Source organism: Homo sapiens, chromosome X, assembly GCF_000001405.40.
Source record: "Homo sapiens chromosome X, GRCh38.p14 Primary Assembly".
Taxonomy (NCBI): Eukaryota; Metazoa; Chordata; class Mammalia; order Primates; family Hominidae; genus Homo; species Homo sapiens.
Genome location: NC_000023.11, coordinates 83860670 through 83887112, shown reverse-complemented (window position 1 = coordinate 83887112; position 26443 = coordinate 83860670). Strand labels below are relative to the sequence as shown.

The 26443-nt window shown below is 32.6% G+C and overlaps 1 protein-coding gene across 3 annotated transcripts; it reads right to left on the bottom strand.

The window, feature by feature from the left end:
* Positions 1–414: 414 nt before the first annotated feature.
* Positions 415–25967, bottom strand: CYLC1 (cylicin 1). 3 transcript variants are annotated; one of them, NM_021118.3, is made up of 5 exons: positions 25914–25967; positions 17208–17248; positions 15543–15661; positions 12482–14227; positions 415–561 (listed from the first exon to the last, which is right to left on the bottom strand). In NM_021118.3, the coding sequence occupies exons 1-5, from the start codon at positions 25928–25930 to the stop codon at positions 529–531; spliced, it is 1956 nt and encodes a 651-aa protein (NP_066941.1). In that variant the 5' UTR covers positions 25931–25967; the 3' UTR covers positions 415–528. The 3 variants fall into 3 exon arrangements, with proteins under 3 accessions (NP_066941.1, XP_005262143.1, NP_001258609.1); XM_005262086.5 differs by having other exon boundaries at positions 25917–25967; NM_001271680.2 differs by lacking the exon at positions 12482–14227 and having other exon boundaries at positions 25917–25967.
* Between the last annotated feature and the right edge of the window lie 476 nt (positions 25968–26443).

The following is a 26443-nucleotide window of genomic DNA, read 5'->3' as shown; positions in this document are numbered from 1 at the left end:
AGCAGCTTTTTTGCTAAAACGGATTTTACAAGGGAAATGCCTAGATAGGCCTAGGATATGGTTCAGGAGTATGATGAAAGTTTGGCCAAACAAAAAATTTTTGTCAGGGGTTAATATCTATGTATATTCTCTATTTCTCTTAAGGGTGTGGAAGATCTGCTTCCTCCCTTTCATTCTCTATTTACTTTTATTTTGAATGCTAAGTAAAAGAGAAATTTAATGAAATATGGTAAGAGTATTGAAGCAGAGTACATTTGAACCCAAACTCAGAAATAGTTTCCAGACTGAAGCTTGAGAACATGGGGTAAAATGCTAAATTATTTTGGTATGAATAATTGAGACATTTGATAAATAATAAAAAACATGTCTATAAATCACTTCTGTAAATTATATGCAAAAAAGCAACTCTTGATACTCATGGAAGACTTGTTTTTATTTCAGTTCCACAGAGGTAGAAATGCTCATTTGAGAGTAGGTGGTGCTTACTGTGGTAAGGCCATTCTGTGAAACCAAGTGCTCAGTTGTTCTTTAAAGCAGCTTATGAATCCACGGTGCTTCAGGCTGAGGAGCAAAGTAGAAAAATGCAAATAAAAAGAAAGGCTTTATTTGTCTATTAATCAAGACAACTATGATGTGTTAAGGATCACACGAAAGCACAGACTGTCATAGTTGAAAGGGAACTTGGATATCATTTTTATTATTTCTTATTAAAAACGCAGATCCCTGGTCTCCACCCCAGACCTACCAAGTCAAAATCTGGGAAGATATAGTCTAGCAGTATGCACATTCAACAAGCTCCCTGAATAATCTTAATGGACACTAAAGAGTGAGAAGTACTGAATGGTAGTCCAATCATCAGTGTTTGTACAGGAGCCAAGGCCCAGCAATGTTACACCATTAGCCTAAACTTTCACAACTACATTAATGGATTAGAACTTTTAAAAATAAAAATATAATGTAAAAAATGAAAATGCATTTAAAATATCTTGTATTCACCCCAAATTACACCACACTAACACAATTATTTTCGAATTTGCATATTAATGCATACTTTTTATCCACAAAAATGAAGATTTCTGTTTAGTTGCAATCCCATAGTATTTTTTCTTGCTTATTTCTCTTAGCCTTATAGTACAAACTTTTCCCTCTAATTTCCTAGGCTCCATCATTATTATTTCAATGAATGCATACTAATCTGTTTCAGATCTTACTAACCCCCCTCTAATTTTATACATTATACAAATATATTATATACATTAATTTATAAGTATACATAGTTTTATATATTATACATTTATACCAAAGTTTTTCTCTTATAGACAGTATTGCAATCATGCTCTTTATGCATAGTTTGTTTTTTCTTCTTATTTTCTTCTGAAAAATTTTTATTATATTTATAGCAGTGGGATTATTGAGTCAAATATTATTTTATCATTTATGACTCTTCCTACATATTCCCATATAGGCCCAGAGGAAAGTTAAGCTGGTTTATATTGGTCCCCTTCTGAAGTCAGCAGTGAATAAATGTACTGCTGTCACTGAAGCTTCAACAGTTGTAAGATATATCTTATATATACAACACATATAAAAATTATATTTTATGTATTGATATAGTTAATATACATAAGATTTATATATATATAATAGTCGCATTACTAGGTGCAAAATGATCTCTTGGGGTTGCTCTGATTACTAATCATCGTCAATATATTTTTATGATTTTGCCTCATATTTATTTCCTCCTGTATAAATTATCTATTTCTATTTCTTGATTTTTTTATTATACAGATCTTGTTTTCATTCTCAGAAATATGTCTTATCATAGCACTCTTGATTCACAGTTCATTCTTTTTTTCTATATCATTATGTATCCCAAATAATTGAAAGAAAATGTTGGCTTGTTTTATCCTTAAATATATGTGGAATAACTTCTACCTGTATATTGTGATTTGGGAGAGGCACTAGAAATGTCACATTCTAGAACATTTCACATTACCCCAAATTCAAACATTTAAAATTCATTCATTTAGATTTTGAGTTTAAGATCTTTAGAGGCCTCGATTAAACCATAGTTATTATGGAAAGAGTAACCAAAATTAAACTTAATACCTTAGTGAGGAATTAGATTCATAGCTCAGAGAATGGTAGTAGCTGGTAGAATTTTTTTCCATATAGGAAAGAGTTTGGGTAATGTCTAGAAAATAAGACATTTTCTAAGAAAGACAGAGTTTGGAATTAGAAATTATTATTGACAGTCAGAGGTCAATGAGAAGACACCAAATCTCACAGCTGGTGATGAAGGAGTCTCTATGCTTGGGCACAGCAAAGTAGCAACACAGTAACACAGTTAAAAAATAGGAAAAAAAATTGTTAGCAAAGTGCATGCAATTTAAAAATGCATAAAAATGTTATCATATCATAGAACAAACCAGAAATTCCTCCCACCTATTTTATAATTTAGTGTTTGTTTTTTATTTTATTTTTTATTTCCATATGTTATTGGGGAACAGGTGGTGTTTGGTTACATGAGTAAGTTCTTTAGTGGTTATTTGTGAGACTATAAACATTCCAGAAGACAACATTGGAAATACCCTTCTAGACATTGGGCTTAGGCAAGGATTTATGACCAAGATCCCAAAAGCAAATGAAATAAAAACAAAGACAAATAGCTGGGACTTAATTAAACTACAGAGCTTTTGCATGGCAAAAGGAACAGTTAGCAGAGTAAACAAACAACCCACAGAGTGGGAGAGATTCTTCATAATCTATATATCTGACAAAGGAACAATATCTAGAATCTACACCAAATTCAAACAAATCAACAAGGAAAAAACCAAACAATGTCATCAAAAAGTAGGCTAAGAACATGAATAACATTCTTCTAAAAAAAACTTGTTGTGAAGAGGCATCACAATATTCTCTGCTGCTTTTATTTTCCTTAGCCTGTCATCATGCTTATCATGCCACTTGCCAACTCTTTCTCCCACCATCCACTTTGACTGGCTTCTAGGCTGTAAACTGTTTTCTCCTTCAGTTAGTTTCACCCTTAGGCATCATGCTATAATATTGCATCTCATAATATAATTTCACAGCCTGGTTCTGCTTTTAATTAGTTGGTAATTTTTGAATATAAACTTCTCCATTGTCTCTGTCAAAATCTTGCTTATCTTATATAACCAAGCTGAAATATTACTTCAGCTTTGTGGTATGAATAAAAAATTTATGAACTGAACATACTTAAATTTGATATTACCTAGCTCCAGCTGTGTTTATACAACTGCCAAGAAATTCTTTCATTCATTTTTTGGTAGTCCTCTAACAAATGCCACATTCAATTTTTCAGCAAATATTGAGTGCCCACTTTCTTGGGAATTTCAAATACATTAGTAAACAAATTAAAGAGCTTTGTCATCATGCAGCTTACTTTTTAGCAGAAGATAGATACAATGCACAACCATAATAATAACTGAGTAAATTACATAGATGAGAAAAGAATGTAAAGCTTCTTGGTTTTGTATAATATTTTGAGTGTTCCTATTTTCAGAGAAGGTTATTTTATTTAGAGAGGACAACTAAAACAAAAGCTGCTAGAATTTTTATTCCCTAGGTGAAAACTTTAACTTCCTTGAAAGAAATAGATATGCATTTTATATCTTCATTGATTTGAACAGTGCCTGACACGGAATATTTGCTCAAGGAATATTTATTGATAGATAAAACATAGTAATAAAGATTGATAATTCTCCTAAATATGACAAAATTCCAAATATAAACTTTCAACTTATTACCAAACTTTTAAGTTAATCAGTCAACAAATAGTTGTTAATTATCTTCTACATGCAGAATGATACTCTGAGTGTGACAGTAGTTGGAAAGAATTAGAACACAATATTAATATCAACCCAACAAATAGAGAGCAATATAAGTGTTACAGTGTTTTGAGGGAAAGTCAAGCTTTGAAGAAGACAACTGGAGAAGAAGGAGAAACCAATTGCAAGAAAAAAGAGGGGCAATATAAATGAAGGCATAAGGCAGTAATAGTAGTAATAAAGTCTTACATTTGTATAATGATTTGTCATTTATAAAACCCTTTCACACCTTTTTTTAATATTTGAACCTAAGAACAATTTGTTATAATGGGTAGGTTAGGTACTATATTTCTCATTTGCAAATGACTTTACCAGAATAACAGAAAAGGCCCCAATGGTGGATTAAATTTAAATTAAAAATGAAATTTAAAAAATTCATTTTTTTCTGATCTCTTGGAGCTTAGAAAGTGTTTGAATATAGGAGCTAATAGACAAAATTTAGGATGAGAAAATAGTCTAGGGATATACAGTTTGAAATGTCTACAAAGAAGTGAAAATTTAAGCCATAGTGGTAGACTAATGCTCCCAGAGTATATAGAGAAGAGTTGAGGTCTAATAACTGAGCCATAGAAAACAACTTTGAGTTGGATGTAGGAAGAGGAAGAAGTGTAAGAATTGAAGATATGGAAACAGTAGTAGGAGAGGAAAAAGAAAAGTAGTAGCAAGAAAGAAAACCACAATAGTAGAAACTCAGGGAAGTTAAGGGAAGAGATAGTTTTTATAAAGGCAAGAGATTACAAGTTAATGTAGGTACAGACAAGACCATAATATTCAGTGAAAGGTCATTGCAGGGAACTATTAAAAGAGCACTTTTTAAAAAAGAACTAAAGAAAAGGTACAGAAATGAAGAACAGAAGAGAAAAGTAGGGAAAAAGGGTAGGAAAAAGGTTACAAATATAATATTTAATGTTATAAAGGTAATTGGCAAATATATTAAAAACAAATGTAGGACTCAATTAGAGAGAAGAAGAGAGGATGATGTACACAACCTATATCTTTATCTTTTATGGAAGAAAACCAATGGAAAATGTGTAAAATTGAGAAGTAGTCATATAAATATATTATTCAGAGATATGGAAATAACCAGCAGAGGAAATAAAAACAGAAACATATCAGTAGGCACTTATATCTTTCTGTCTGTCTGGGGCATTCAGTTACACTGGTACTTGACTGTAACTTTATCAAATACAGTGGGATGGCTTCAAATTAAAACAACTCCAGTATTCTTTTCAATAGATAAAATCAGGTGACCAGGCGCGGTGGCTCACGCCTGTAATCCCAGCACTTTGGGAGGCTGAGGTGGGCAGATCACGAAGTCAGGAGATCGAAACCATCCTGGCTAACACGGTGAAATCCCGTCTCTACTAAAAATACAAAAAATTAGCTGGGCGTGGTGGTGGGCACCTATAGTCCCAGCTACACGGGAGGCTGAGGCAGGAGAATCGCTTGAAACTGGGAGGTGGAGGTTGCAGTGAGCCGAGATCGCGCGAGACTCTGTCTCAAAAAAAAAAAAAAATCAGGTAATGACAGTTTCAAAAATAAATTACCTCCAGAATCATGATTATATATTGTACAAAGATCTCGAAAATGTTTCAAAAACCTTTAGAAATCAGTGGTACCCAATAATTCATGAATCCTCCTAAGAATAATTTCTTGTGGTAATAATCTCCGTCCAATGTTACCATTATTTTTTTTGTGCTCTAGTGTGTCAGTCACTTCTACTATCTAGTTAGCCTCATATTCTATCCGTAGTCCATCACTGTTATGGGCAGACATATGACCGATATCTTTCAGGCAGGCACAACTAAGAAATGACAAATTCATCCCACTATGCTAGCCATACAATTTGAAATTACAGCTCACCTAGTTCAATTTTTCATTTTAGAGATGAGAAATCAGGCCCAGAATAAGAGAGGGATTTACTTGCTTTATTTTATTATGAAGGAACATGTGTCCCAGAAAAAAATAAAAAGTATAAAGTGAACCAAGTTCGACGGTTCTTATGTGTTTTACTTCAATTTGCGTTTTGACTGATTTCACCTGAAATAAGTACTTCCTTGAAGTGCTTTCCAGTTTAATACAAAACAACAACAACAACAACAACAACAACAACACCCACTTTCCTTGAATAGCAACAGTGAATCAACTTGTAGTCTCCTTAGTTTGGGTTTTCTGATTATTTAGTCTGTCTTCTTTTGACTCCTAATTAACTATAGAAATTGAAAGATAAGCTTTTTAATCAATTGCCCAGTATTGAGCATAATGTCATGTAACCTCTGCATGCTCAGAAAATGATAATTCCTCCTGGAAAATGAAATATGCTATCAATTAATTAATTTTATTGAGGAGAGGGTGGCAGTTAAAAATATTGATTGGTTTATTTGTTGAACTAAACATGTTCTAATACGTTGGTTTCTTTTACATTGTGCTCATATAACCTGGATGAAATTAAAAGCCACATGCATTGTTATTTGAGGGATGTTGATAGGAGTGGTGCTCCCTGAATGTGCATAATAAAATAGCAGATAATATACTAAACATCTTACATGTTTCATTTTCCTATAGGGAAGGTCTTATTAATATCCCATTTTATACTTGAGAAAAAATAATATTTCAAGTGATTAAGAAAGAAATCACTTAATATTTCAAGTGATTAAGATACTTTTGGGGAAAAGTATCCTGCTAGTAAGTGATAGAGCAAGGATTTAAATCCAAATTATTTGACTCCAAAGCTGTATGCAGTAGCCACTAGATTATACAACTTGCATGGGACTTCTGATTTTTCAAATAATGTATTTAATTCTTTTGGGAAAGACATTAAGACATCTCCTTTGTTAACTCATTTCAGTGCAATAAAACCTTGATTGTCACAATGCTCAATTTGGACATCGATGACAGTTTATTATTTACTAAGGACTAGTTTTTGTTTTAGTCCCTGTTAAAAACTACTCTGTGGAGAAGATAATTTTCACTAATACGGACAGCCAAGAAACAACCAAATAAATTATAGACGTATTTGATTATGTAAAAATTTAGTATTTGTGCACAGCAAAATACACTGCAAAATAATTAATAGACATGAAAGCTAGGGAAAATACAACAAGGAAGACAGATGAAGGAGTAATACCTATAATATGCAAAGATACTTTAATAAATGCAAGAAACATACAAATAACCCATGTGAAAAATGGACAAAGAATACAAAGAAATAATTCTCAAAAGATCAAACGTATGGCACGACAAACATTCAAAAGATATTTAAACAAACTAGCATTTAGGAGAATGCAAATTAAAGTACCAATGAGATATCATTATGCATCCATTAGAATGGCAAAAGTTAGGAGGAGCTGTAACAACTATTGCTGACCAAGATGCAAAGATGTATTATTTCTTTATTTTAAAATAAAACAATAAGAAAACCTCACTTCCTCCTGCTCCCAGCTGCCATACACTTTCTCTTCTGCTGCCAGATGCTACCACTGTGTGCATGTGTGTGTGTGTATGTGTCTGTGTGTGTTTGAATGTTTGATATGGTAAAGTGAACCTTAGAAAGACGTATGGAATGAAACATAGTAAGTTGTTGATAAGTGTTACCTAGAAAGGAGAAAAAAAGCGATGGGTGAAAGTGGGAATGAGAAGTAGAGAGATAAGCAAAAATAAAAGATGGAAGGAAAACAAATCACAATGTATGGTATTGACACAAAATTCTGTGTGTGTTTTCACAAGCAAGTTGGAAATAAGAACAATAACAATAGATGTATGTCTAACGACTTATATGGATGACCATGATATTGTCAAGTGAGAAAATAAGTTGTACTTTACTGCATGTGCATGATTGTATTTTGGTCAAAACAAATTATGTAATTCTCTCTCCCTCTCTCTCTCCCTCCTTACATTTGCTTGTACAAGGAAATGGTGTAAGAGAGAAAAATGGACCCCAGGCTGCTAACATTGTTTACCTCTAGAAGATGAGAAAATAGGGGGATTTGGCATCAGAAAGTGGACATGAGGATCTAAATGATTAGCTTTTCTTTACGTATTTTATATTGTTTCTGTTGTTGTATTTGTATTTTTGTTAATAAAGATTATATATACACATACAGAATGGAAAACAAAACACCCTAAACATAACACCCTACTTTTCTACCTTAGCATCTGGAATATAAAGAATTCTTCACTTACGTTTGAGAATATTGCTAAGATTTATAAACATAATATCAAATGTAAATAATCTTAATCCAGGAGTGTAAACAGTGCTGACCCTGAAACACAGCACTGCTTATGTGGTTCTTACGTGCTTATGTGCTACTGTGAGAATCACTAGGACTCCAGTGGAGGAGAAAAGGAGAAAAGCCATCATTCTTCAAGCCCATATTAAAAAAAAAAAAAAGGAAGGAGAAAACTCCATAAGATTCAATAACAAAGTTTGTTCATAAGTTCCCCATACACAATTGAGCAGGATACATAGGTATTCTCTTCCAGACATCCAATTAGAATATAAAGTGCATTTTTGTGACTACCCTCACTTAAAAAAATACTTGTTTTAATGACATATCTAGAGGAAAAATGCTTGGAAAAAGGGATATCCGAATGTCTCCTACTGTGATATGTAGCTCTTTAGAGGGACCAAATTCTCAACCAACTAAATATAACATAGGTGCTGTTTTTGAATCTGTGGACATATATTAAAATATATATTTTCATATATATAGCTGCTGTTTTTGAATCTGTGGACATGTATGAAAATATATATATATTTATATATATTTATATATATATTTATATATATTTATATATATTTATATATATTTATATATATATTTATATATATTTATATATATTTATATATATTTATATATATTTATATATATATTTATATATATTTATATATATTTATATATTTATATATATATTTATATATTTATATATATTTATATATTTATATATATATATTTATATATTTATATATATTTATATATTTATATATATATTTATATATTTATATATATTTATATATATTTATATATATATTTATATATATTTATATATATATTTATATACAAATATATATATTTTATATATATATTTATATACAAATATATATTTTTATATATATATTTATATACAAATATATATATTTATATTTATATACAAATATATATATTTTTATATATATATTTATATACAAATATATATATTTATATTTATATACAAATATATATATTTTTATATATATATTTATATACAAATATATATATTTATATTTATATACAAATATATATATTTATATTTATATACAAATATATATATTTATATTTATATATATATATATATTTATATATATTTGTATATATATATATATATATGAAAAAACAGGCTAGATTCACTGCCTGCATAGAACCTGAATTCTGATGTTGAATATAATTAACAAACAAATGAATAAAATATAATTTTATATAAATATAAATTCAGTGAAGCCAAATAATGTATGATGCAGTGTTCGGAGGGTGACTGCATAGTGGTGGATGAGAGGGTAACATAAAGTAAGGTAGTCAGGGAAGGCTTCTCTAAAGAGAACACTTAAGCTGAAAAACTAAATAATGAAAAGGAATAGACATGCAAAGATCTGTGGGAGGAATATTCCAATCAGAGGAAACAGCACATGAGAAGGCTTTGCAAGAAAACAATCTTGGTGTTTATGAGAAACAAAAAGAATGCCAGTTTGGCTAGATGACAAGAGAAAAGAGAAGAAGTGCTACATGATTATGGTGAAAAATGGGTAGGGGCTAAAGATTGTAGACACTGGAAGCTAGGGTAAGAAATTTTATTCTGCCAGACATGGTGGCTTACACCTACAATCCCAGCACTTTGGGAAGCCAAGGCTGGAAGATTGCTTGAGCCCAGGAGTTCAAGACCAGCCTGGGCAACATAATGAGTTAATGGATAGCTAGATGCTAATGATGGTGATGACTGGAGCAACGAAGGTGGTAGTAATGGAGATAAGGAAAGTGGATTCAGTCAGGACATATTTTGGAGGTAGAGTAAACAAGTCTTGCTGATGGATTACCTGTGTAGGGTGAGAAAAAGAAGTGAGAAGGAGATTATGTCCAGGCTTAAAAAAATCAACTGGCTGGATGGTGGTGCCATCTGATAAGATGAAGACAGCTAAGGGAGGAATAGAATTTAGTGTGGGGTTAAAAATATTATTTAAACATTTTAAGTATGAGATGCCCAGTAGATACTATAGTGGAGATTTCAAGTGGAGAGATTTTGGAGCTCAATTAGAAGGTCATAACTGGAGATATTAATTTTGGAATCATCAATACATAGATAATATTTAAAGCCATTTAACGCTATATACTCACAAAGGGAGGACTGTAAATAAAGAGTGTCCAGGACAAAGACAGGATCATTCCAATTTTTAATAATGAGGCAGAGAAGGATACAATAAAGGTGGTTAAAATCTACCAGTATGTAGAAATAAAAACAGGAGAGCACAGTCATAGAAGTGAAGTAATGGAAGTATTTCCAGACAGAAAGGTTAGTTTAAATGCTGTTGAATTATGAAATAAGATGAGGAGGGAGGAAAAGCCTATAGATATGGCCACAAGAAGGTATTTGGTAACCTTTAAAGGAAAAGTTTCAGTGGAGTAGTAGAGACAGAAAAGCCTAACTGAATGGTGGCAAAGCATATGGAAGTTTATTAAAGAGACTTGGCATGAATTGTACAAGCCTAGAACATACCCTGAAAGATAATTTTTTAATTAAAATTAATCCTTGTATTCAATTTTTTTCTTATATTTTATTTACTTTTCCTAAAAACTGCCTGTGGAAAAGAGTCTAGCTATTTGAGAGTCTTTCTTCTTACTTATCTTAAAAATTATTCCCCAGTGTACTTTTATTTCTTATAAGTATTGTCACACTAGTGGTTAGCCATCCATTAACTCAATCTGGTGGAGAAAGAAGATATCACCTAGAGCAAGGGGGTCATTAATCAACTTTGAGTCTCAAAGCAGAGTTTTGGGGTCTGCTGGGAGAAAGCTAGACTTGAAACCCAGGCTTTCTGAGAGTGATAAAAGATGTTTTTATCTTCCAAAAAATATTAATATATGAGAAGTAAATTGATGTACATATGTAAAGTTTTATTATAAACCAAAGATAGAAAATATTTGGAATATAAGATAAAATAGATCTCTCTGAGCCTAAAAGAGGAAATATAAATTTCTTGAGTTAGAAGAACAAGAAGGTGACAAGGGGGAGAAATGAGGAGAAGAAAGGGAGGAGGAAATTAATAAAAATGAGAAGTTTAGGGTCAAGAACTAGCTGTATCTACAGAAGCCGTGAGTTTAACAGGTCAGAGGGCAGCAGTCCTACGATGCTTAGAATAAACAATGAATACCATGCAAGCATAGGAAACAAAGATTGATGCCCAGAAATCATGTAAATGAGTTACACCCAACCAAAAATCATAGAGACAGAAAGGGAGGAAACATGTAGAATAGGGACTTGATATGGTTTGGCTGTGTCCCCACCCAAATCTCATCTTGAATTGTAACCTCCACAATTCACACATGTCGTGGGAGGAGCCCAGTGGAAAGTGATTGAATTATGGGGGCAGGTCTTTCCTACACAGTTCTTGTGATAGTGAATGAGTCTCAAAAGATCTGATGGTTTTAAAAACGGGAGTTTCTCTGCACAAGCTCTCTTTGCCTGCTGCCATCCAAGTAAGATGTGACTTGCTCCTCCTTGCCTTTTGCCATGATTGAGAGACCTCCCCAGAAATGTGGAACTGTGAGTCTAATTAAACCTCTTTCTTCTGTAAATTTCTCAGTTTCAGGTATATCTTTATCAGCAGTGTGAGAACTAATCCAGAACTCCTCTGTCTAATGTAATATGTCTATTTATGCTTTCCCTTACAATCAGACTATTGGGGAAGGGATTGAAGGGAAAGACTCCTGGATGAGAGAAGTAGTAGCTTTAAGTTGACAGAGTATTTACCTCCAAATAGATAAAGTTAACATGAGGTTTATAAATTAGAGAAGATATAGTTATTTCTGAAAAGTTAACTTTTGTTTCCTGATATCAGTTATAATGAGGGCTCATAAAAAATCCACTTGAGATATGGATTAAATAATTTAATTTTTTTGCACAGTTGAATCTTGGCATGTATTCCACCTGCTATGTATGAATTTTGGTTAATCTAGCTTTTACTGTATTCAGCAACTTCTCAGGAAATGTCTTTATATCTCGCTTAAATCTGCCCCTGTAGAAGTTTTAGTCAATTTTCATTTTTGTTCTTTTCCAAGTATAAAACTTAACCACTTTTTTTTTTGCAAAATGACCTTCTTTATACATAACTTCACGTTTTCTTAAATCACAAGTCATTTCTCTCTTCTCTAGTCCAAATAATTTCTATTCTCTTAAATTTATAACTTTTTGCAGTATTTTGCATCCTTGTGAGGTATTCTTTATTTTTCTTACCTTCGAGTCACAAAGTTGTCAATATTCTAGTAAAAGATAACTATTATTTGGAGAAAACATAAATTCAAACTTTAAAAAGTCTTTCATTTTATATCCATTTCAGCCTAAATATAAAACAGTAGTAAACTTACCAAAGGAGCATATCTTGGTTTTGGAGGTGGAGGAGGCATCTTGCACCAACAAAGACGTCTGACCTTTGGTGATGGTAGAGAAGGCTCACAAGCAGGGAGTGGTGGTTTTTCTCTTGATGGAGGAACTCTACCTGTACTTGCTTTTTCCCCTTTTTCATTGAATGTAGTCTTTTTGGATGACATTCTGAATCCTCTCTTTGATTCCAGTCCTTCCATCTTTGAATTTGCAGATGTGCCATCTGATTCATCAATTTTCTTCTTAGCCCCAGGTTTATATAGTGACTCTTCAGATTCAGTATCTGAACCTTTGATTTTTGTAGATGTTTTAAAGCCTGTCTTGGAAGATTCATCAAATTCAGCATCAGTAGACTCTGTGTCCTTTCTTGCATCCTTCTTGATATCTTTCTTTGAACCTTTCTTTTCCTTTGAGTGTTTCTTGTCCTTCTTTAACTCCAAATCAGATTCCATTTCAGTAGATTCTGCATTTTTCTTTGCATCCTTCTTTTTGTCATCTTTCTTTGAATCTTTCTTCCCCTTCTTTTCATCCTTTTTACCCTTTTTTGAATCTCCCTTCGGTTCAGAGTCAGCATCAGTAGACTCTTCATCATTCTTGACAGACTTTTTATTATCTGTCTTTGAATCTTTTTTATCCTTTTTTTCATCTTTCTGACTCTCCTTTGACTCCAGTTCAGATTCAGAATCAGTAGAGAATGTAATTTTCTTTGCATCCTTTTTCTTGTCATCATTCTTTGAAGCTTTCTTCAAATTTCTTGAATCATTTCTTGCATCCTTTGCATCTCCTGATTCAGTATCAGTAGACTCTGGGTACTTCTTTGTGTCCTTTTTCTTGTCATCTTTCTTTAATTTTTTCTTATCCTTCTTTGTATCTTTCCTTTCATCCTTTGAGTCTCCAGATTCAGCATCAGTAGACTCTGTGTCCTTCTTTACATCCTTTTTCTTGTCATCTTTCTTGACATTTTTCTTAACTTTCTTTGAATCTTTCTTAGCATCCTTTGAGTCTTCAGATTCAGCATCAGAGCTTTTCTTTGCATTCTTTTTTGTGTCCTTCTTTGTATACTTTGTATACTTCAAAGAATAATTCTTTGAATTATTCTGTGAGTAATTCCTTAACCATGCATCAAAATTTATGGATTCATCATCAGACTGTCCCACTAACATGAGGAAATCAACATTTAAACTATTTTCTGAGCAAATCTCTGATATGGGATCATTACTAGTCTTTGACCTCTTCAAATCTTTCTTTGGATTGTTCTTTGTATGTAGGAATTCAGTGTTTGTCTTCTTGGAATTCTTTGAATCTTTCTTATCTTTTTGTGAACAATTTTTTGAGACTGTCTTAGAATTTTGGGATTCTGGATTAGTTTCTGAACTGGATTTTGACTTCTTGGATTGTTCATTTTCATGTGATGATTTTAAGGGAGTTTTATCTGCCTCATTTTGTCTTTTAGTTTTCTCTTCTACTATTTGCTTGGATTCTGGATTTGTTGCATATGAACCTCCTTTTTTCTTGGAATCTTTCTTCAAAGGTGTTCCTCCTTTTTCATCTTTGGACTTTTTATATTCTGCTTTTTTAAGATGGGTTTTGGAAGTATAAAGATGTCTGAATGGAGTCTGTTCCCTGGCAGCTGTGTAAATGGGTGGCCATTGCAAAATTTTTCTGAAAGAATGCCTTATCCATTTATGAGCTGGTTTCTGGCCTTCTTCTAGTTTTCTTTTGTCATGTCTCTGAAAAGATTGGTTAGAATAATAAGCATTTGTGAATGAGTTTTATCTTTCTATATTGAAACATAAAAAAGTTTATATTTTTATTAACCATCTATTTAAACTTAGTTTTTTTCTCTTTCAAGGTTGTGTCTGTGTGTGTGTGTGTGTGTGTGTGTGTGTGTGTGTGTAAGAGAGAGACAGAAAGAGACATATAACTCCACTTTGGAAATAAAATGACTTTAGTGGGAATTTTATGATTCCATTAATGATTCATATTGAGATTAGAGCAGGCCCACAGTGACTCATGACATTCCAGGACTTGTCCTCAAATACCAACAGTAGGCTTTTGGGACTTCTATATGGGGAGAATCTTTTGGAAAATATTGAACACTGTTTATCCCCAAGTTAAATCAGAAATAAACTGATCCACTTGAAGTTTGTTATGACAGTTCCTGTAATAGTTGTAAAACCCTAGCCTAATTTCTACTCCTGCTTTTAAAGTGTCTTGTCAAATTGAGAGTCTGTGACCCCAACTGCACTGCACAAAAAAAAGAAACAAAGGCATAAACTGAATGAAATAAACAGATGCTTGATTCACATTAACTTGTGCAGCAGTGGTGTAATTTATTTTCAAATCTCACCCAAATATTTGCCAAATCTTGTAGTCATAAATAACCATAAAGACTGATTTTAAAATTACTTCTTATTTTCCCTCAATTATTCAGTAGAGGTGCCAACAAGCAAATGGTAATATGGAATTAAAAGATGACCTGAAGAGAAACATGAAAGTTGGATCACTAAAAATGTAATAAATGACCCTTGAATAAATGCATTGACTGTAACTTTGCTCTGGGAGATGCTTTAAAAATTGTTTGATATCATAATAGGTGACCTATATATGCTTATTTTTCCTTTTGCTAATTGATAGGATAACTCGACTTTAGAGAAACAGTAGAAAACTTGAATCTCTTAATATCGTCTCTGAATTTCATATTTTGTAAAATAAGGAGGCCTTGAAACCTCATCAAGATCAGTTTCTGCTCTAATATTTAAATTTTAGCTGCTTTTTGCAGCTGGTAAACATGTCCTGATAGAACTTGCCAGGTGCAGTATTAGGTTCTCCAGCTTGCTTAGATAATGTCTTTGATGTGGATAATTATGTACAAATATGAGCTTAATCTAAAGCAGGTAGGGGCAGTCTGTTGTACAGAGAATTACAAATTTAAAAATATCTTCCAACAGGTAGTAAAATTCAAGTTATATAGGCCTTACTTATATTTATATATGCTTTACCAACTTAGATTTCGTTTTTAAAAATGACTTTTTCTATACTTACAGTAACTGTTATTTGTGATTTCAAAGGTCTTGATTTATCATTTGTACCTCTCTGGAGTGGTTTGGGAAATGTCAAAGCAAAGTGTTTTTGATTCCATGATTTTCTGCTTGATTCACTGACTAAATGAGAAAGGATAATAAACAATTTGGAGTTAATGTCAGATTTTCCACAGACCTGAATTATTCTTGAGTAAGAAACATATTATTTAAATTAAACTAAGTTATACATTAAAATATAGATTTTTTCCTCAGAGTTCCTAGTTTATTTGCATAGCAATCAGAGAAAATAAAAACCATTTTTCTTATTTATCATTGAATTTTATTTAAAATGAAATTTGTAATTTTATTTTCTACATTAAACTAATTTTCACAGATATTTAAATCATGATGGTAAAATTATATAATCAGACAGTAGGAATAGAAAATAGAGATTTACTGTTTCCTTGAAAATATCTACATCATCTCGTCTATCCTGTTTTTTTTTCTTTATGTCACTTTAGTTAGATTGCAGACAATATAACTTCTGCTATAGTCTTCATAATAACTAGCACGGTGTTGACAACAGTCAGTAAAAGTCTTGATTGATTACATCTGAGTGTTTCTTTTAGCACCTCTCTGACCTCAGTGGCATCCCGAACCACAGGAATTAGGGCCCTAGGTGGAAATACTGCATTCCATTTTGGGGATTCTATTTAAAGAAGGCCATATACATACTTGAGGACAAGAATAGGGTGATCAGGAAGATCAAACTATCTGAAAACTATGTCAAAAGTGGAACTGGTAACGAAACTCAACATAGCTCTCTTGGAGATGGAGAGACTAACCAGAGATACGGTTACTATATTTAGATTTTTAAAGAGCTGCTACATTGGCAAAAAGTAGTCATAGTAATAACAGCATAGCTGCAACCACTAACACTTATGTAGTGTTTACTATGTGCCAGACTGTGTTCTAAGCATTTTAGTAAACTTGTTTAATCTTTACAACAATGCTTTGAATTAGATAATGTAATTGTCTCCATTTTACAGATATGGAAAAATAAAGCACAGAGAGAGGGAGAGGTTAAATTAATTGCTAGCTTATTAATTATTTATTATTTAAAGCTAGTAAGTAGCAGAGTTGATTTGAACACAGGTACTTTGGCCCCAGAGCCCATGCTCTTAATCACATTGTTATAGGCTTCTTTTATATGTATCCTGAGGGGTGGGCTAGAACCAATGGGTAATATTTATAGCAGTGCAGGCAGACTTCAGCTCAGTATATTAACGTAAACGTTCCTAAAGTTGCAGCTGTTTAACAAATGGGCTGTTCATTAACTGTTTTCATCTCTCTGACTATATTTGCCTTCTTTACTGTAATTATGAATTCTAAACACAAGGGAATCTTATACAAGTAAAATTGGTTTGTATTATGAAGGAGAACAAACTAAATAAATCTTTCTTCAAAACCAGTGAGTGCAAATCTACATCAAGGCCAGAGATATACACACACATACACACCTACCAACATACATATATAAATATCATGCATACATGCTTTTATAAAATTTTTATAAAAATTCATAGCAGTTTCTGCTTTATCACATTTAATGGAATATACTTGTCATTAGTTCCTAAAATTGTTTTCCAATCTAAGAAATATTAAACTTCATTAACTAAATTCTTACTTGGAATGGAATTATCATATGTTCTGATGTTTACTTTTAGCCTATTAAAAGAAGAAAATGCTTTAATTAAATTTGTATTATGGGCAATAAATAAAAATAACTATTTTTTTATGTAATCTATCCTTTATTTCTAAAAAAACAAAGCCCAATGCTATGTTTAATCAGTGATTTGGAACTGTCTTATTGTCACTCATTATTATAACAAATTCTTCAATTGCAACACTTCAAAAAATTTTATTCATTCTCTTATCTCCATTTTTAAAGAATGTCTACCTTTAATTCGTATTAATCTCCCTATTATAAACCAATTGTGGTACATATCCACTATGGAGTACTATGCAGCCATAAAAATGAATGAGATCATGTCCTTTGCAGGGCTATGGATGGAGTTGGAAGCTATTATCCTCAGCATACTAGAGCAGGAACAGAAAACCAAACACCACCATGATCTTACTTATGAATGGGAGCTGAATGATGAGAACACATGGACACATAGAATGGAACAACACACATTGGGGTCTATCAGAGGGTGGAGGGTGGGAGGAAGGAGAGGATCATAAAAAATAACTAATGGGTACCAGGCTTAATACCTGAGTGATTAAATAATCTGTACAGTGAACCCCCATGACACAAGTTTACCTATATACCAAATGTGCACATGTACTCCTGAGCTTTAAAATTTAACAAAAAGATAAACTATAATTACCTTTCTATATACCAGTGAAAAAACATTTAGAAAATATTTTAATAATACCATTTATGAAATCAAATAAAAAATAGCAAATACCCAGAAATAAATATAAAAATATATATGTATAATAGCTTTATACTGAACAGTAGAAACTTTTAAGATAAAATTTTAAAAAATACACAAATAGAAATATATACCATGTTAGAGTGTGAAAGGCTCAGTAATACAAAATGTAGCAATTATTTTCAAATTCAAGTATTAATTCAATGCAATCCCAATAATTTTTAAATGTTTTTGTGATTACTGTCTAGTGATTCTAGCTTTTATATGGAAATAAAGGATTCGAGAATATACAAGACAATTTGGAAGTAAAATAACGTGAAAGATATATAATGCCACATATTAATATACCAAGTTATTTTAAAGTGACAGTAATTAAGATAATGGAATATAGATACAAAGAAACATAACTAATTATGTGGAATAGAAAGCAAAATAAGAGACCTATATAGATAAAGTCACACAAATTATACCAAAGTTTTCATGCGCTGGGGAAACATGGTGTTTTCAATAAATGATTTTAATCAATTAAGTATCTACAAGGGGAAAAGTGTGATTCTTGACCACCATTTCACAATAAGCACCAGAATCAGTCTCAGATAGACTGAAGACCTAAAGCTGAACTGTAAAATAATAAAACTTCTAGGAGGTAACAGAGGAGAATATCTTAATGATAGTAGAGTAGACACATATTTATTAAACTGGGCATAAAATCTATAACCATAATGAAATATAGTGATATATTGAGCTCCCGTTATCTAGTTATTACAAACTGTACCAGTTTTTCCTCCTCTAATAATGGAAATAGAAAATAAATAACTAAATAGAAGAAAATACACATTTCTTTGAACATCATGACAAAGATTCTTTAGAGAAATAGCATGGTTATGACAACAATATGAATAATAGGTAATATTTTCATTGTGCTTTTATAGTGTTTCAGTGTTCATAATAAACTTTCAAATTTGCAATTTTTTAATATAGTTGAATAATTATATTTGCTTGATTTGATCTGGAGTGAAATCCTGCTCTTAAAATATTTTATTCCTTTTCAGTTTATGCACTCTCTACTTCAAATCTACTATTTATAAACATAACTTTCTTCTTGTCCTATTGTTTTTGCACCATTTATGTTTAATTCATCATTTTTCTTTAAACTTTATTTCCTGATAATCAAATGAATTTAATCCTCAAACTTAGACAAGAAATTATGCTGTAGTTTTCTCTAAATTTTTCATTCAACAATTAAACATTAAGTATTATTGAAGGCTGAATAATAAAAAATATCCGTATTTTAATTTCTAGGACCTTTGCATGTTATCTTATATGACAAAAGGGACTTTGCATAAGTGGTTCAGTTGAGAATCTTGATACTGGAAGGTTATTCTGGATTGTTCAAGAGGGCACAAAATGTAATCACCAAAATTATTACAAGAGGAAGGAAAGAGGATCAGAGGAGGAGAAGGCAAAGTGATTATGAAAGCAGAGACTGGAGTGGTGCACTCTGAAGGAGGAAGAATGGGGGCTAGTCAAAAATTATGAGCAGCCACTGGAAGCTAAAAATGGCAAAGAAATAGATTTTCCCCTCAGAGTTTAGAAGAAACCAGCCTTGCTAACACCTTGATTTTAGCCCAGTGAAATAGATTTTAGGTTTTTGACATCCAGAACTGTAAAACTATGTTGTTTAGGCTACTATGTTTGTGACAATTTTCCACAACAACAATAGAAAATTAATACAAATGTTGGTACCAGGAGTGGTTGTTGCTGTAACATATATTTAAAGATGTAGAAGTGGTTTTGGAACTTGGCATTGGGAAGAGATTAAAATAATTTTGAGGAGTGTGATAGAAAAAGCCTTGACTGCCTTGAATAAAACTGCTAGAAAATATGGTTGTTGAAGACTTTGTTGGTCAGAACTCAGAGAAAGTGAGGAACATTGTAGAAGAAAGCCTAAATCATCTTTGAGAATACGTAAATCATCATAAAAAGACTTGATGAAATATGGATTTTAAAGATGTTGCTGGTAAGAATTCAGGAGGTAGTGAAAAACATGTTATTGAAGACTGGGTGAAAGATAATTCCAGCTGTATAGTGGCAGAAACAGCTGAACTGTGTTCTACAGTTATGTGAAGAACATAACTTGAGTAATGAACTTGGATATTCAGTTGAGGAGATTTTCAAGGAAAGCATTGAATGTATAATGCAGTTTCTTCTTGCTGCCTATAGTAAAATAAGAAGGAAAATAAATATAATTAAGGAAAGAATTGCTATGCAAACAATCACCAGGACTTAATTATTTAGGAAATTCTCACTTTATGCAGATTTTAAAAGATGATAAATTAAGGTTCACTGTCAGGGAAGTGTTCTCCAGAGAGAATGCTGAGTGGGGCTGGACAATATTTTGCTAGTGTTGGAAGATAAAGCATGTGACTTATGGATGTGATCAACCATCTCAGCAAAAGCCAGGAATATAGACTAAATATATAAAATATTTTGTGTACAAACATCTGTGGAGGAACCTTTTTTTTAATGGCTGGAATCCTCATAATATACACAAGAGAAGCATGAGTTTCTGAGAATGTTATACCAGCAGAAACACTGAGAGTTTGGGATGCAAATGGACAGAGAGAGGAAGGATGAAAGAATTAAACGGACAAATCTATACAGGCAGGAATCAGGCTGGCAGAGTGACTCAGTTGCAAACATGTGCTATACTTTAAGAAAAATGATGGCTAACTCTGAGGATAGAGCTGAAAGCCCAGGGGTGGAGCCATGGGCCAAGGTAGTGGAATCTCAAGCCGCAGTAGATGATTCACAGACATTGATATCTAACAGAGTTTACTCAGTTTGACTTAGAAATTGCTTGAGGCCAATGATTCCATTTTTCTTTTATTTTCCCATTTTATGGAGTTAAAATGTCTATGATTGTTATTCTATCCATGTTCAATCATTGTATTTTTGGAGCAGAAAATGTGTTTTTTAATTTTACAGTTCTACAGATATAGGGTAATTTCACCCCAGGATGGAACACTTACAGAATCTCACTATATCTGATTTAGATGATTTACACTATAGCAACTGGGACTTTAGAGCTGATGATATTTGGATATGATGTTGGACTTGAGTTAATACCGAAATGAGGTGATAGTTTTGTAGATGTTAGTTTAGTTTTGAGTGACTGTATTTGCATGTGGGATAGACATGAATATTTGGGGTTCAAGACAGACTGTGGTAGGCTGAATAATATACCCTAAAGATACAATTTTCTAATCCCTGGAAGTTTTGAATCTTACCGTACATGGCAAATGACAATTTGCAGGTGCGATTAAAATCTTAGATTATCCAGGTGGGTCCTCAGTGTTATGACAATTGTGCATATAAGAAATAGGTAAAAGAAGATTTGATTACAGAAGAAATGCAATATGACAACATTGCAGAGATTAGAATGATGCAGTCAAAAACCAAGACATGCTAGCAGCCACAAGAAGCTAAAAAAGGCAAGGAATACAATAGCTTCTGATGCCTTCAGAAAGAATCAGCCCTTCCAATAACTTGATTTTAGCTCTGAATGACTCATTTTGTACTTATGTCTTCCAGAAATGTAAGAGATTAAATTTCTATCATTTGAATCCACAAAGTATATGGTAATTTGTTACAGAGGCAATATGAAACTAATCAAGGTAACATGCACAGAGGTTTTTGCAATAATCTAAATAAGAGATCAAAATGGTTTAGAGTTGGTGGCAGAACTGATGTTGAGACTAAATTCTAGATATATTTTAAAGGTAAGCCCTATAGGATTTGGTGATGTACTGGATGTTCACTGCTAGAGAAAGAGGGCAATCGAGGATGATGCCAAAGCTATGTTGGTGCGTGTGTGTGTGTGTGTGTATGCATGTTTATGTTTGCTTAAACAACTGAGTGAATAGTAGTGCCAATTTCTGAGATGCAGAATACTTATGGATGAGCAGGTTTAGAAGGGGTATAAAACAAGAATTTTGTTTTGCACATATTAAGTTTGAGATATCTATTACACATCAAAGTGGAATTGTCAATAAATTAGTTGTACATATAAATCTGAAAATTAGAGGTGTGGTCTGGAACAGAGATATAAATTTAGAATTCATCAGCATTTAGATGGCATATAAAATCATTGGAATGGATGATATTGTATACTAAATGTGTGCAGATAAGAAAAAAAGAGGTCCAAGATCTAAGTTTTTAGGCTATTCAACATTTAAAGACTGAAGAGGTAAAGAGAAACCAGCAACAGAAGCTGAGAAGGAATAGATAATATGATAGAAGGAAAACCAAGAAAGCAGAGTGACATGATAACCAAGAGAAGAATATTTCATGAAGGGGCTCAGTTGTATCAAGTGCTGCTAGTGGAATTGTAAATGTGAAAGCCATTCCATGGAATGGTAAGGACAAAAATCTGAAATAAGTTTGGGAGAGAAAAGAAACTAGTAATAGTGATTATCTCCAGTAATGGGTCTGGGAATCTAGTATAGGAGAATGAATTTTGCCAACTCTCCTTTTGTTCTTTTTGAATTATCCACCATATATATGCATTCAATTTTTCAATTAAAATCTAGTTTAAAAAGAGATTGTTAATTGGAGAAAAGGAAGTAGAGATAATATGAATAATTATTTTGGGAAGTTTTTCTATATAAAGCTGACAGAAAATGGGGTGGGAGCTGGAAGAGGCTGTGAAGGAAAAGGGATTTTTTAAGTGGAAAAGGGATTTTTAAGTGGTAGGAGTTACTACTTTTTTTGAACACTGATGGGACAAAATCTACAAAGAGTTAAGAAAAAATGATGATATGGAAGAATATGAGTTAACAAAAAAGCTATATGCATAAATAGTGAACAAAATCCAATCCTGTGTTATGAGTCGAATTATGTCCCCCAAATTTATATTTAAGTTCTAACATCTGGTACTTGTGAATATTACTTTATTTGGAATTGGATCTTTGCAGATGTAATCAAATAAAGATGAGATCATACTGAATTAAGTTGTGCCCTAATCTAAGTGACTAGTGTTCTTATAAGAAAAGGAAATCTTTTTCTTATAAGAACAAAGGGAGAAACAGACATAGACAAAACGTGGATGCCATGTGATGATGAAGGCAGATATTGGTGTAATGCATCTACAAGCCACACAATACCAGGAACAGTCAGACTAGGAGAGAGAGGCACGGAACAGAGTCTCCCTTAGAACCTCTGGAGTAAACCAATCCTGCTGACACCTTGATCTTGGACTCGTAGTCTCCAGAATTGTGAGACAATATATGATGGTTTTAGCCAATCAGTTTCTGGTAGTTTCTTACAGTAGCCTTAGGAAACTAGCATGCCCAGTTAGAGGAGTTAAATGCAGCAAGAAGAAAGCATCTGCTCTAACAGGACTGAAGGTGTGGTGTTGGGGTAAAGATGAATGCAGACTATTATATTTTCTGGTGGAGAAATGTAATTGCCAGGTAGCATTAATGGCCCACTTGAAGTTTGTCATTTTATATTTAAATTGAAGATAATTATTATGGTTACACATTTTTTTTCTCATGCTCATTTATCTTGCAAAGGTGTGTGGCATGATTAGAGGTTTAAATTTACTAAAAATTAAGTGTTTTTTTCAGCAAAGATGTCAAAAAATAGAGTGGGATAAAGGGAACTGAGGATGTATGCAAGGAAATATTTGTGCTAATTCACCATGAGCCTGTAAAAATCTAAGATAGGTAAGGATTTATGGTGGGCAACAGAAGAAAAGCCACAGAAAGGTCATTAGCAAGGAACAGGGAAAAGGTAGTAGAATCAATGATCAGTCTTAGAGGTAGAGTTGTTGGAATGGGGTTATTAGAGGTACCTGACATATCAGTTGGAGAGTGAAATGTTTGAATTTGAGATTTTGGAGGGATATGTGCAGTAGTAAACCACTAAAGTAGGATGTAAGACAAAATAACTGGAGAAGAGAAAGTCAAATAATTAAAATGTTAGATATGAGATTGATCACCTAATAGTAAAATTACTAGGAATTAAGACAAAGGTACTTTTGGAGAAAGTGATAGCCAGACGGAAAATCATCACAAAATGAAGTAGAGTACTAGGAGTCAGGTGATGAATACAAGGAAAGGTCACAGGTGATATAAGTTGATGACATGAGATTCAAAGTTGGCTATTTTTGGAAGTAAGAAAGGAGAATGACCTGGAAATAGCATTGAGGAATAAAGCAGACTTTATTGCATTTTTGGGTTCAGTGGTAGGAGAGGATGTAGGAAGGAAAACATCACCCCCTCTTGAAGGCTGCAGGAAAAGCAATGAATTTGAGAGAGAGTTGGGTTTCAGATACAGCAAGAGGACAGAGTTATCATTCAGATTGGAGTCAGAGGAGGACATAGAGGGTGTTGCTGATGACAGTGAGTTTCAAAGAGATAATGCCTAATGGTGACATAAACCTAAGGTCTTTGTGATCTAAGAGGGAAGATCAGATGTAGGCAGAATCAAATTAGAAATGTCTTTGTAAAAGCGCTAGTGATTTGAGACGCTCACTTTGGGGAGCTCAATTTTAATTTCTAGATCAAATCACTCTTTTTCTTTTCTTTTCTTTTCTTTTTTTTTGAGACGGAGTCTCGCTCTGTCGCCCAGGCGGGAGTGCAGTGGCGCGATCTCTGCTCACTGCAAGCTCCGCCCCCCAGGTTCATGCCATTCTCCTGCCTCAGCCTCCCGAGTAGCTGGGACTACAGGCGCCTGCCACCACGCCCGGCTGATTTTTTTTTTTTTTTTTTGTATTTTTAGTAGAGACGGGGTTTCACCGTGTTCGCCAGGATGGTCTCGATCTCCTGACTTCGTGATCCACCCGCCTCGGCCTCCCAAAGTGCTGGGATTACAGGCGTGAGCCACAGTGCCCGGCCCACTCTTTTTCTTTCTTTCAAACTTATTGAATTTTCATTTTCTAAAAGTAATACACACTAATAGAAAAAAATATGAACATTACAGACATGTATCATTTAAAGAGGGAAAATGTCTGCAATTCCTTTCTAGGGAATAATTCTCCAAAATTTGAATTTCTGAGTGAAATATTTTCTAAATTTTCTTTTTATTTCGAATTTGTGCACTTTTTAAAGTTTACTGGCAATTAAGATTTTTTCCTATAAATTGCCTGGTCATATACCCATATTTTTATTCCACATTAATTGAATTTTTTTCATAGACTTTACAAGTGTTTTTTATTAGGTTGTACCATGAGAAATTTCCATTTTTGTAGGTCAAAATAGTTTAATATAAGCAATCTCATATAGTTCAATTTAATATATATGGGATATTATCTGGTAGGTGTAAGTTAGCATGGCTTACATTATCTTAATTTTTAAACTACTTTCAGAAATATTCTTTAAGAGGAAATTGACTTTTAAAATAAAAAACAACACTACAGCAACTAAAGACTTCAGAAAACTGTTTAATTCCATATGAATAATACTTTATCTTCTACTTAATGAAGTCTTTAAAAAATAAACTTACTGCACTTTCTTGGACATAATAATGTATTTATCAGAAAAATAGAATGGTCTAATTTTGCCTACACATACAATTAAGTTTACCAAACTAGCATACAAAGTCTTACTACATTGTATCCTGCTTTACATTTTAAAGTGCTTTCACATAAGTTTATTCTTTCCATGATTCCTAAAACAAGATGTAGTTATAAGAAACTGAGACTCAGAGAGATCAAACAGTCAAGATTCGCAGGTATTTTGTAAACAAGACTGCACTAGTGAAATTTCAAAGCAAAACATCTAAGATATTATTGAAAATTTCATATCTCTGTTTAAAATACAAGTTCTAATTCATAAATAAAACGACTATGAAAGAAACATTCTTTACAGTTAAACATATACATTTGTAACTAAATTGAGCATATTGGCTATTTAAAATACTAAAAAAATATTAAAAAGAGGACTTACAACCTTGGAAGAGACATTTCCCCTGCCTGTACGTTGCCTGGACTTGAGCATAGTAAGTTGAAACTGGTAATGTTGAGTGATGACATCATAAAGGGATTGTAAATAAAAGAAATTTAAAAGGGACAGAGTAGTCATATTTTAAAGTGCACAGGTGTTTTTGAAACCTATTTTTAAATTGTGGATGTGTTCACACTCCACTTTTTAAAACTTGAACTGAATTAGTCAGTATTCATTAATTGAATCTACCTGTTTGGTTTATTAAATATTTAATTATTTCATATCAGCCTATTTTAACACTAACTTTGAATGTGCATGTGTGCACAAAGATGTGTTTATGTGTGTATATTTGTGTGTGTAAGAGATATATGTGCTGAAAGGAAAATAGAAGAATATAAGTTTTCCTCTAAAAAGAGCAGTGGTAGCTTACTACATTTTCTTCACTTTTAGGCTTTTCTCCTCTACAACCTTTTTGTACATTTATAGTGGTATTTCCATAAAATAACTTGAAGATGTCTTATTCTTGGATATGT

Coding starts and splice junctions, on each gene's coding strand:
- CYLC1 (NM_021118.3), bottom strand. Junction 14,228..15,542: donor AATCACAAATAACAGTTACT/GTAAGTATAGAA, acceptor CAATCTTTTCAG/AGACATGACAAAAGAAAACT. Junction 562..12,481: donor AACCAAGATATGCTCCTTTG/GTAAGTTTACTA, acceptor TTTGCTCCTCAG/CCTGAAGCACCGTGGATTCA.